Raw genomic sequence first — 12,466 nt, 5'->3', positions numbered from 1 at the left:
GTAAGATGTAAATTATTCTGTTTCTTAGCTGATCCTTAATCTTGATGATATTTTCAAAACAAATGAATAATAAAGACATGAGAAAAGGTTTCCTTTAAAAAGTCGTGGTTCTCGCCAGGCGCAGTGGCTCATGCCTGTAATCCCAGCACCTTAGGAGGCCAAGGCAGGCGGATCATGAGGTCAAGAGATAGAGACCATCCTGGCCAACATGGTGAAACCCTGTCTCTACTAAAAATGCAAGAATTAGCTGGGCATGGTGGCGCATGCCTGTAGTTCCAGCTACTCGGGAGGCTGAGGCAGGATTTAAATACTGTTTGAACCCAGGAGGCGGAGGTTGCATGAGCCGAGATCGCACCACTGTACTGCAGCCTGACAACAGAGTGAGACTCTGTCAAAAAAAAAAAAAAAAAAAAGAGTCGTGGTTCTGATACATCTCAGCTTCCAAACTATTTCATAATTTTTTAAAAATATAAACACATAACATAAAAGCATCTATTTGAAGGTGAACATTGCACCAGCATTCAGTAGATTTACGGAGTCATGAGACCATCGCCCCTAGGTAGTTCCAGAGCATCCTTATCCTATAACAGCTTTACAAGTGGTATTCAGAGGGGGTTTGGGGACTTTAGGCTTCAGTGAAAAAGATTAGCAGTTAATGTTAGTTTACTTCAAGAGGATGCCTTTATATATTTTGCAACTTCTATTTTGTGTTCAGTTCTTCTGGAGAGTAGGGTGTAGGCATTTTAGGGGCCTGGCTTCCAAGCATGCAGCCTCTTCTCTGCTGTCGATTGGAGGTTTTGTGAAGGGCTGGGAGGATTGCCTCCATCCAAGTGCCAGTGCATGAGACTGATCAGGAGTGGTAGCATGTGAAGTGGTCCTCATTGGCTCACAAGAGGGGACACAGGGGTTTGGTTGGTGCTGTGCGGACTTCCTGGATTTGGTAGGTTTCAAAGGGTCATGATGTTTGCCACAGGGAGGAAGAAAAGGGCAGTACCAGTGGCACTGGTCCTTACCCTCTGTAGCTCTATGATCTTGAACAGTTTGCATAACCTCTGGAAGCATCATTTAAATCTAAGCAAAATAAGAATGTGTGTGCCATGCATGGTATTGGGGGCAGTCTTAAAAATGAAGATTTCAGCCTATGAATATGCTAGTGTAACAAAAATTTGTCTTAAAATTTAGTTTTTTAATTCAGAATGCACTTTCTTATTGAAATAGTTTCAGAGCCCCAGGGACTGATAGAGAGACACAGCGTGAGAAGAGGACAAGAGGAAGACAGAGACAGAGAGATTATTTTGACACAATGCTTTATTTTTATTGAAAAAGCTGTCATCCTTCAAAAATTGACAGATACAATGCTTTTACCAATCTTCTTCTTTCTTTCCTGTACTCGACTCCCTTTTCTGTTGAATTTTTATGAGCTCTGAATGAGAATGTTTATAATAGGGACAAAGGCATGTACTGAATGTGAATATGTGTGACATTTATAGAGGCCCTTGTTTACTTTGGATTTTCTAGAGCCTCAAAAGCACATGCATTCCTATATGGATTTCTCCATGGGTTTATATTCAGGTACGTAGGCATATGTAAGTGTGCATAGGAATAGACATGCCTGGATACATGCCTGTGATGTACTTTGCATTCCAATTAGTGCCAAAGAATGCACACTGGTGCATGGTGACCCCAAAAAACTGGTGTGGATTAGCAAACATCGCAGCCTCCTCCAACCCCTGCCCCAGATGAACAACATGAAAAAGAAAAGTTGACTGCTTCTAAATTATATTTAAAAGTAAACATCAGTGCTGGGTTCGTGGAGGTCAGCCTAAAGTGCTGGCCTGTGAATGTGCCTTTAGGGGTCTTTTGAGATGAGAACATGAATTCATTTGAGGGTGATGAAGCTAAAAAAAAAAAAGGTGTTGGCTTTCTGTGCTGACACCTCATCCGCGGAGCAGGCCAGCTTGGAAGTGTCCCCATGTCAGCCTGCAGACTTCTCTACCATGCTGAATGTTCTCGTTTGCTCACTTTGGGTTTAGAGGAATCTGCTTTTCTAAATTTATTTATCAGCTCATTCCATTACCCCCTCCTCTCCTGGTGGACTGTTCTTGACCCTCAGCATGTAGAAGTTATTCTGAAGTGCTGCTAACAGGATTTGATGCTGGCCCTGGGGCTTGGTGACAGATGTGGCTCTGGTCCTGCCCGTCTGTAGCTCTGTGATCTTGAACAGTTTGCATAACCTCTGAAAGCATCTTTTAAATCTAAGTAAAATAAGAATATGTGTGCCATGCATGGTGTTGGGGGAAGTCTCTTAAAAATGAAAATTTCAGCCTGTGAATACGGTAGTGTAACAAAAATTTGTCTTAAAATTTCATTTTTTAAATTCAAAATGCACTTCCTTATTCAAGCATTTTCTGAGCCCCATTGTCTATGAGAATTGTGCTCCATCCCGGGATTGAGGAAGGGAGGCGGTCCTGGCCCTGGGGCAGCTCGCGGGCTGGGGTCCCTTCTGAAGCAGCCTGTGGCTGGTGTGGAATCCGGAATCCACAGCTCGGGCCTGAGCCTGGGCTTGTCTCCTCCTCGCTGCTTTGAACAGGAAAAGGCAGTTCAGCCCAGCAGGATGCCTCTTAGAACTGGGAATGGCTTGGAAGAAAATGCTTATGAAGCCCCAGCATATAAAATGTGCAAGGATGTTTCCCTGCTGGAAGCATTTACCTGGTATCCCTTGCATTTTTACTTTCCTCCGAAGGCCCTCACCTTGTAATCCACCTCCCCACAGTTCCATCCCCTCTAGACAGCAGCCTGCCTCACAGTGGTGTCCCAAGAGCACTGGGCGTCAAGAGGTAAAATGCCTGGGCATTTTCTCTGAAGCACCTGTTACCACTGTCCCTTCAGGCTGTGATTCCTGGCCAAAATGCACCCATTCTTTTTGACACACTTGGGAGGGTCTGGGATTGTGAGACTTGCAGAAGGGTCAGATGTCTTGAGTCACTGAGAGGGCTGAAGAAGGAATATGTAGTCTGCTTCTTGACATTTGTTACTGGCCCGGGCCTGCCCCATCAGAGCCTTTGAGGGCATTACCAAGGTGCCCCCCAGATTAGTGTACCTCCTCAACAGATAGGCATTGGCCAGGCTGTCCTACTTAGGCCAGGAACCACCTTGTTGTCTGTTTAAATTCTATCACATTTTAGTGACACACATATGTAGACATGTTATATGGTACATATGTGTGTTATGTGTGCAGGTATTTATGGCTCTGCCTAGATTGAGGCATTTGCCACTTTCTGAGCACTTCTTACAGGCCATGCACTTATATATGCACACATGTAGAGAAAGAGCAAATGAACAAGTTTACAAAAAATCCTGAAAGCCAGGCAAGTGAGAATTCCATCATTTGGAATGAAAGTAAACTTTTCTGATGCTTCAGGGCCAACCAAGTGTGCGATGGGCGTCAGAGGTCAGGTCTCCATGTGTCACCTGGCAGAGGGATGGTGTGAGCAGCTCACTGGAATTTGATTTTTCCAGAGGAGCATGAGATTGGGTTACTGTGAAGTCCCAGTGTCGCTGAGGTTGTGGAGGGTTTGTGTTTTGTGTTTGTTTTTAATTCCTTCTCCGCAATGCCCAAGTGAGCACTCCACTTGAGTCTCAAGAACCCCAGAGTAGAGCTCGCCCTGGGGTGCTGGCCAGCACGTAATTCTCAGGAACAAACAAGTACATTCGAATAAAGCTGAGGATCTCAGTCTGCAGTGCCTGGTCCCTCGGAGGCATTCTAGTATCCCTCTTAGTTTTGTTTTATTGGGGCAGAGCCTGTTGCTGAAAACAGAACCTGTGGGTCACCCTGACTATCCTTCCCAGGCCTTCGAGAACTGCCTTGCATGTAGTAGAGAGACTCACAGTTTGCAGGAGTGGCACCGTCTTTGAGGCAGCTTTCACATAAAGCATCTGAAGTTCCTTTGCTAAGTCATGTGCCCAGTCCTCAAAGGTACCTGCAGATCACCTGATCGCTGGGAGTAGGGCTGGTCCAGGGTTCCTCTTATTGTGTGCACACATAAGGTTCGCCCGAGTCCGGTGGGACAGAGATGTGGGAGGTGATGGGATGCAGCCCCTGTAGGACCCGTGAGGCTGGTGGACAGGCAGTGCGGGCTGGTGGGAGGGTGTTAAGGGAGAATTCCATCCAGCTGATCAGGTCGTGTCTCAGGAAGGACGTGCCCCCTATGGAGGCTGCGAGACCTTTAAACTTGCTCATCCCTTCCCGTGTGTCTTCTCTGGGCGCCCCAGCTCCTCCCTTCTCCTTGGTTTAATGCCCCTTTTCTCACCTCCCTCTGGCAACCAAGTCTGCTTGTGTCTTCCTCCGAAAGGGAAACTCCTGTTGCCCCTTCTCTCCCTCTGTTCCTCCTCTCCCTCCTTGCTTCACCTTCCCTCCGTCCTTTTGTTTCTGCTGCCTCGCTCTCACCTGCATTTGAAGGATGTGACTTCCCAGTGGGACCTGGGTTGGGATTTGGTGTCACCCTCCCTCCCTCAGCCTCAGGACATTTCCAGAGCAGAGTCTTCATCACACTCCTGGCATCTAACACAGAGAAGGATCTGGATAAAAGTTTGTTTTGTTTTCTGATGGGTAAGTGGAAGGAGAGAGACAGTCTCTCAGCTCCAGGGAGCTGAGTGCATCATGCCTGCAAAGGGCCTGAGCCCGCAGAGTGGGAGCTGCGTGAGACCAGCACCTGTGTTTCTGAGAGGAGACCTGGCATTGCCGGCTGGTGGGGTGGGCTGTCCTCTTCCAGGTGTCTGATTTGCACCCCTGCTTGATTTTGCTAAGGTGCAGTGGGTGGTCCTGGCTGTAGCAGAGTCAACATGTGGACAGTCCAGGTCCTGTCGTCCCCGGGGATCTCTGGGTGTTTGGGTGGGGGGAGCAGACTGTCCGGGAAGAATTTTTAAATGTTTTTTCCTCAGTGGACTTGCTGCCACCTGGAGCCCACCTTTGAAATCACTTTAGTCCCTGGCACTGCAGCTGAGGAGAAAGAAGCAAGAGAGGAAAGATAAACAGATCTCCAGAAGATGCTTAAATCTGTAGATTCACACTCAGGATTGTCCCAGTCATGGCTGTGACACGGGCACAGAAGCAGCATGCCCTGCCTCCTCCTCCCTGCTGCCCATCCCTGTGGGTTTGCTCCGAGTCACTGAGCCCACAGTTCCACGGAGGGAATGGGACCCACCCTTGGGAGTGCCATCCTGGTCACAGTCACCCTTCCTGGGCCTGGCTGCCCCATGCTGGTGCCGCCCCGTGCCGCCTTCCTCTCTGCTTGGGGAGTGACAGGCACGGGAAAGGCCAGTCCATCCGCTTCCGCTGAGCCTGCTCTGTCCGTGGTCAGGCATTTCCGACAGCATCATTTGCAGGAGCTGCTGCTCTGCAACACATAAACAACCAGGGAGGAAATGCCTACTCAGACCTTTGGGAGGAAGGTCCCAGGGATCTTCCTGGCCCATGTGCGGAGCGGTGGCCCTGAGGGTCCCAGGCAAGCCGTGTCCCTCTTGGGGTAGGGCATTGACCTGCCCACTCTTCACAGGTTGATGAGTGTGCCAGGGTCGTGCAGGGGCTGGACCGGCCAATGGCTCGGCTCAGGCTGGGCAGCAAGCTGTGCTGGAAGCACAGGCGTGCACAGGGGCTGTAAGAAAGGAGGCAGCCCAGGAGGAACGGGGACCTGCTCTTCCAGGGAGAGCTTTCTAGGGGAAGGGGTGACACACCAGCATTTGAAGAGGGAGTGGGATTTTGCCAGACACAAGAGACAAGAGAAGCCAGGAGTGAGTGTCTGTTCTGTGCTTCCCCTTGTGAAAACCCTGAGTAATGTACCGTGTCTCTAAGGCCCAGACACATGACAGGCCCCTATGTTCTGCCATGTGGACTGGGTTATAGTCAGATTTCGGGTCACGGGAACAGAGCACTTTGACTTGACTGAGGGAGATGGTGTTCCAAATGCTGAAAAAAATGTGGGGTCACTTGAAAAGGGCTTTGTAGAATGTATAGGAGTTTTTCAGCAGTTGGCTTAGGAGTTTGGCCTTTTAGATGAGAGAAGCATATGAGCAAAGAACATGGAAGAAAGGGGACACAGTGCGTAGAGGCTGCCAACAGCCTACAGTAGGTGCCAGCCAGGCAGAACAGGCTGAGGGATCCAGAATCAGGCTCTAGGACAGGGTTTGGGCAGGATGTTATAGCCCATTGGGGCCCGGAAGAAAACCTGCAGGGTTTGAGCAGTGCAGTGACAGGGTGGGATTTGCATTGGAAGGTCCCCTGGGCTGCCTTGAGGAGTGAAAGGCTTCCAGCCTGGTGGCCAGGCCAGATGAGAGGCAGATGGCCCCATCCAGAGGAAAGGGACATGGGTGTAGGCTCCTGCCGGGGTGGGGGGCAGAGGACTGACTAGGGACATCCTTGTTGTTAGAGACTGTTCAGGCTTCCACTTCCTCTCTGGCTAGTTGCTGGAAGCCTCTCTCTGCTGTGAGTGTGGGGTCCCAGGGGAATGGGGGTTTGATTTTGGAGGGGCAGGTTTGGGGGCATGGTGGGCAGGTCCTGCCGCTTGTGCCTTGGGTGATGGCTGGCCTGAGGCTGAAACTAAGCCTGGTTGGGTTTCAGCAGGGAGGTTGCAAGAAATTAAAGTTGGGGGAGGAAAAAGTGAAAAGAAATGAAAAGGAAGCAAACCGCAGCAGTGAGCAAGGCGGGGCCAGGGCCGTCTGGAGGCACTGACTGGGCAGGCCGCCCGCGACAGCCAGCAGCAGCTCAACAATCCCGGGATTCTTTCCCGGGCCTGAGCTCTCTCGGCCGCCCTCTGAATGGGCCTCTTTGGAGGTGGCCGCCCCGCCCCCTGCACGACTCCCTCGGGACAGGCCGGAACACAGAGCCCTGCCTGGGTGGGTGGGGGACGCCACCGCTGGGACAGGGACTCGGGACTCTGCTCACCACGTAGGGCTGCTGGGGACACAGCCCAAGGAGTTCCCTCTGTCTGGCCCACATCCTCCCAGGCCCTTCCATGGACTGACCAGGGTCCTGGGTGCCAGGTAAGCTGTACATTGGGACTCATTGCTTCTTCCTGCTCAGTCCCTACACGCCTGGTGTCTTCTGTGCTCCTGGCGCCTCTGGCCCGGATCCAGTTGCCCTTGCTGAAACTTGATCTCCTGGGCTCCAGTGGAGGGGGGTGGGGAGGGGTATGAGGTGGGATGCAGAGGTCACTGGGCCAGGAATCCTGGGCAGGACTTGGGAGGAGGGCTGATTGTTCCAAGAGTCCCCTTGTCACTTGATGACAGTTCTCAAGTCGCCAAGGCTTTGGGACAAAACGCCCCAGCCCTTGAGCCTGGAGGGCTAGTCCTTCCAGAAGAAAGTCATGCTTTGTCTTTGCTGAGATTCACTCAGGGCTAACAAAAGCCTGGTTTACAGATGTGCAGCTTTTCTGGAACAGGACTGCTTCCTAGCACAGTGCATTCCTTTACTGAAACTGATAAAGCGAGCCTGCCCCATTCCAGGGCTGTCACCGCCCCCACCCCAGTTCCAGGGCCCTTGAGGGATCCCGGGCAGCGGGCAGCAGGACCTTCAGAGGACCAGAAGGCTGCACTTCTGAGCACCCAGCACAGTTGTTTCTACTAAATGCCGAAAGCAAGCGTTAGGATCAGGCGCTGGGTTCTAAAATGAGATTTACTGTTGTCTCTTCTGTGGTTGAAGCAAGCAAAGAGAGTATTTCTAAACGAGTTCATGTCATTGAAAAAAACAAAAACAAAAACCCATGCATTCACTGAAAGAACCTGCTCAGATTATGTTAACAGAGCTTCTGGACCTAGGGGCTTTGTTTCTTCACTGTCCCTTCCCTCCCAAATGTCTGAACTGGGGCTGGGGCTCTGTGGGACCCTGGGAGAGTCAGCCAGGCACTGGGGGTAGCACGGGCAGGGCTGGCGCCTGGGCCCAGGGTGGGCCTCCTGGGCATCTGCTCCCTCCTCTGCGTGGCTGGCCTGTGATTCTGCTGGCCCTGCAGCCGACACAGCGTGTGTGTGTGTATTCCAGCTGGAAGGATGGGGAAGATTAAGAGGGAGCGAGGGGAAAACCCAGAGCTCTTTATTGTGAAACGAGCACTGCAGCCGCTCTGAGACAAGCCCAAGTGGCTCAAGGTCCAGCTTCTCCTTCCCAGGCTGAAAATCTTGCCCAGTATCCCTTCCAGGATTGATGGATTGCTCTCCAGCTGATGGAAGATGCTATCTTTTCAAAAGTTTCCTGTCCTTTTAATGTATTTTATATACATTAGTAATTTTTCATGAATTCCATATGCGTGTCAGTGTATTAGAGATTGTCTGGTTAGGACGGACATAGTTTTCTGACTTTGGAGGTGAGATTAAAAGAATTTTGGTCCACCTATTTCGAGAGAGGGGTGATTTTCTCCCTTGGCCAACCTGTAGCCATGGTGGCCCGTGGGGAGCCTGGTGCTGTCTTCTGCTGGGGCTTCCTGCACTCTAAGGGGGAACCTCAGTGACAGGGCTCTAAGTTGCTCCCAGAGTACCTGTGCCTTCCTAATCCCCAGGGCAAACCTGTGCAGAAGGTTCCTTGTCCTCCTGTAGGGGCAGAGTAATTGTATTACATTCTGCGTTCTGACTCAGACCCTGCTGGTGGGAGGCAGGGATGTCTTGTGGAAAGAACATAGTTTTCTGAGTCCAACAGATGAGTTGGCTTCCTTTGAATAAGCTTCTTAACCTCACTTTTCAGAATCTGTTTCCTCATCCATAAGATGATTTGCATGTGGAAATGTTTGTATGAGGATTAAATCAGATAACACCTATGTGTGGGTTAGCAGAGTGCCTGGTGTATAGTAGGCACTCAGAGAAAGGGAGCTGTAATTCTGATTTCCATTTTACTTTCTTTATATGAAAAGTTGATATGTGTCATATAAACAGGATTTTACAACAGTCCCAAGAGCTGTGTGATTTAAAAGCTGTTGACATTCAGATTGGCACCTGTACTGATGGCAACATTTCTCCAAAAGCACAGTGAAAGCTCCCGTGGTTGGAGCTGGGATCTGATAATCCGCATGGTTCTAAAAAGGCAGTTTGCAGCCAGGACCATGCATCAACATAGTTCTAACTGCTGCGCACTTTGACCTTCTCTCCTCTACCCTTCTGTTTCCACTTCCCTGTCTTTAAAAAAAATAACATCCAAGGCAATCAAGCTGCCTAGTTGATGTAGGATCAGGACAGGAAGCCTGGTGGGTGTGATGCATGGAAGGTGGTCTTACTGCTGTCAGACACAGGTCTGGGATGGCTCGAAGTCCTGTGGTCTGATGAGAATACCATGCCCATTTTGTTTACATTAGGCTCACCTGAGACAGGTGGCCTCTCCCTCCTATCAGGAGGGACTGTAAACAGAATGAGTTTACAGTAAGAGTCAAGGGACCAGAAGGTCCCCGTCACACAGCACACTCTGCCTTCTTGCTCCGTCCCATTGCTCACTGTGATTTTACCAGGAGATAACCTAAGAACGCAGGACTAAGAAATCACTGGAATGTCAACTTCTCGTTCCACCACGAGATAGCAGAGTGGCCTGTGGCCTTCCTTGAGCAGTGTTCTCTGTGGACATATGATTCTTGATTAGCCTCAGGTAGAATGGATAGCTGGGTGGAGAAGGCAGGTGGGTACCGGGTCACCCAAGTAAATTAAAGTTAAACAGGGTTTTACAAACGTGGAGTGGAAGATAGAGGAATGAGGGCTCAGCTGGCAGGAGGACGAGGGTCACCAGTGGGATGCCTGGCTTTCTTGAGTGACCAAGTACAGATAGAAAAGCTTCTAGAATGCTATGGAACTCATTTACTGCTCTGTGGAGGTAAGAAGGAAATGGGACCAAAGATAAGGCTTGCTTCTGGAAGATGTGGGTCTTGGGAACCCCTCTTTGTGCATCTGTTGATGGGAGTAATGGATACACAAAACCACACGGTCCATCATGCTTCCAAGCTGACTCCTCCAAGTCTGGTTTCCCTTGATAGTTTTCCCAGTGGTCCCATCACTTCTGCTGCCTACTAGATTTATCATCACGAGAAAAGTCCCAGTTTCCTTTGTAGCTCATGCTGCACTTGACTGGAGGAAATCAAGTCAAGGATATCTTGGTGACAATTGAAGGGATACAGGAATTATACAGTTATGCGCAGACTATTTAAAAAGACACTATTTTTTTCTTAACAGGGACATTTTTCAAAGTTTTTCAAAGATTTTCAAAGTTTTTATTAAGAGACTTTTAAAAAATATTTATTCATTTATTTAGATGGAGTCTCACTTTGTTGCCCAAGCCAGAGTGCAGTGGCATGATCTTGGCTCACTGCAACCTTCGCCTCCCAGGTTCAAGTGATTCTCTGGCCTCAGCCTCCTGAGTAGCTGGGACTACAGATGTGCACCACCACACACGGCTAATTTTTGTCTTTTTAGTAGAGATGGGGTTTCACCATGTTGGCCAGGCTGGTCTCAAACTCCTGACCTCAAGCGGTCTGCCTGCCTCCGCCTCCTAAAGTGCTGGGATTACAGGCGTGAGCCACCTTGCCTAGCCCTGTTAAGAGACATTTAAAAAGATAAAAATAAATGGAGAGAAAGCCATGTTTGTGGATAGGAAGACAATGTCACAAACATGTTGGACCCTCCCAATTTCATCTGTGTACTTAATTTAATTCCAGTCAGAGTGCCAGCAGATTATTTTGTGGAACTTGATAAGCTGATTCAAAATTTATATAATAAAGTAAAAATTCTCAGTAGCCAGTATACAACTACTAGAAATGAGGACTTACCACAAAGATAGAAAATTCGGTAAACATGAGCTGGTACAAGGACAGATAAATTGACCAACAAACAGATGAAAGTGCAAAACAGACCAGCACATGCTTGGAACTTTGGTGCCAGACAAAACAGGCAGCCAGGTCAGGAGGGGAAAGAGGAGCTGCCTCATAAATAGAGCTGAGGTTTGCCAGGTAGAAAAGGTTAATGGATCCCTTTTATAACACATGCCAACATCAGTTCCAGATGGACCAAGGATGTCAATGTCAAATAAATTCTTAGTAGAAAATCCGGGTGCATACGTTTTTCCGGATTTTTTCCTTCCTGTCTTCTGCTCTTCTGTTTCTCTTTTCCTGCCTTACTGTGGATTTATTTATCATTTAGGGGAAACTCTGTCTTTATTTATTGATAGTATTTTTGAGTATATCCCTCCCTGTAGTTTTTTTAGTCCTCGCTCTTGGTATATACATAACTTGTCATTATTTATGGCTACTTGTATTATTTTATCACTTGGAGCGTAGCATAGAAATCTTACTTCAATTTAAGTTTCTTCACCCTCCCCATTTTTAAAGTACAATTGTTGGAAGTATCTTATCCGTTTATGGTGAGTACCACATGTGATGATGTCTGCTAGTTGCTCCAACTATAAAAAGTGACTTAAGAAACTCATGAGAAGAATGGACTGTTATATTTACCCTTACTTTGACTCATTTGAACATTCTTCTTTCCTTTTGGAAGTTCCAAATCTTATGATTTTCATTCTGTTTAGAAAATTTCCTTTGGCCATTCCCTACTGGGACATTTGCAAACAACAAAATCTCTTCATTTTCCTTCATCTCTGGATTTCTTTATTTTTCCTTCATTCCTGAATGGTATTTCTGCAGGATATAGAATTCACAGTTGACAGTTCTTTTCTTTCAGTACCGGAAGCATGTGCCACTTCTTTCTGGCCTCTTTGGTTTGGGTTTCTTTTGAAGATTCGAAGATAGGTGGATTCTCAGAAAAGCTGTCATTTTATATGACACTAAGATAGGGAAAACAGTGCCAGGTAAAACAGGATGCACTGTGGGTGAAAAGGTATGCACAGATTTCAGAAATGTGGCTCCGTGAGAAAAAGCAACTGGGGACTGGGCACATGAGGCCTCGAGGAGCGGTACCTCCAGCCCTAGACTGGCTGCATGGTCGGCCCAGGGTGTGCAGAGCTGCAGGTGGGCTGGAGACGGGGTGCCTACCATGCAATGAATCCTCAGCAGGGGACCCCTCCCTGCTGGCCTCCTATGTAGGAAGCCCTGGTGATGTGACAGTGAATGAGACACAGCCTCACCTCTGACACGGTTCCAGCAGTGTGCTACTGGCCATGTGCCAGATAGAGCAGGGTCCGTGGCCACCGAGGGCCTCCGTAAGAGGGAATCAGGGAGCGGAGGCAGGCTGCTCTTGAGGGCTTTAGAGGGCTTCATGCCCCGGGTAGGGCTTCTGTGATTCTGCGGGGTCTCCAGTCCTTCCAGCTTGAGCACTGCACTCGACTCATGGTAAATATTATCAGCAACTTAGAATATTTAGGCACTCCCCTCAGTTTTATGTTCGTCATATACAGGCTTTCACAAACCATTTTCTTTTTTCTTTTTCTAATCATAACATTCCATTCCTAGGGTATGTTTGTTAATTTTCATTTCACTGGGTTGTTTTTTTGATTGTG

The 12,466-nt window shown here is 48.6% G+C and overlaps 1 protein-coding gene across 25 annotated transcripts in view, besides 1 other annotated feature; it reads left to right on the top strand.

Annotated features, from left to right (window-relative positions):
• TNS3 (tensin 3) overlaps positions 1-12,466 on the top strand; it is a 307,433-nt gene that overhangs the window by 247,568 nt on the left and 47,399 nt on the right. The window lies entirely within an intron of this gene.
• Positions 7,853-8,458: an enhancer, noted in NCBI's record as "H3K27ac-H3K4me1 hESC enhancer chr7:47366159-47366764 (GRCh37/hg19 assembly coordinates)". NCBI's record gives its function as "activates a minimal SCP1, AML or CMV promoter by ChIP-STARR-seq in naive H9 embryonic stem cells {active_cell/tissue: H9 hESC(naive)}" and the evidence as "EXISTENCE:reporter gene assay evidence [ECO:0000049][PMID:30033119]".

The sequence above is a fragment of the Homo sapiens genome, chromosome 7 (genome assembly GCF_000001405.40).
Source record: "Homo sapiens chromosome 7, GRCh38.p14 Primary Assembly".
Taxonomy (NCBI): domain Eukaryota; kingdom Metazoa; phylum Chordata; class Mammalia; order Primates; family Hominidae; genus Homo; species Homo sapiens.
This window is presented reverse-complemented; position numbering and strand designations above follow the sequence as displayed.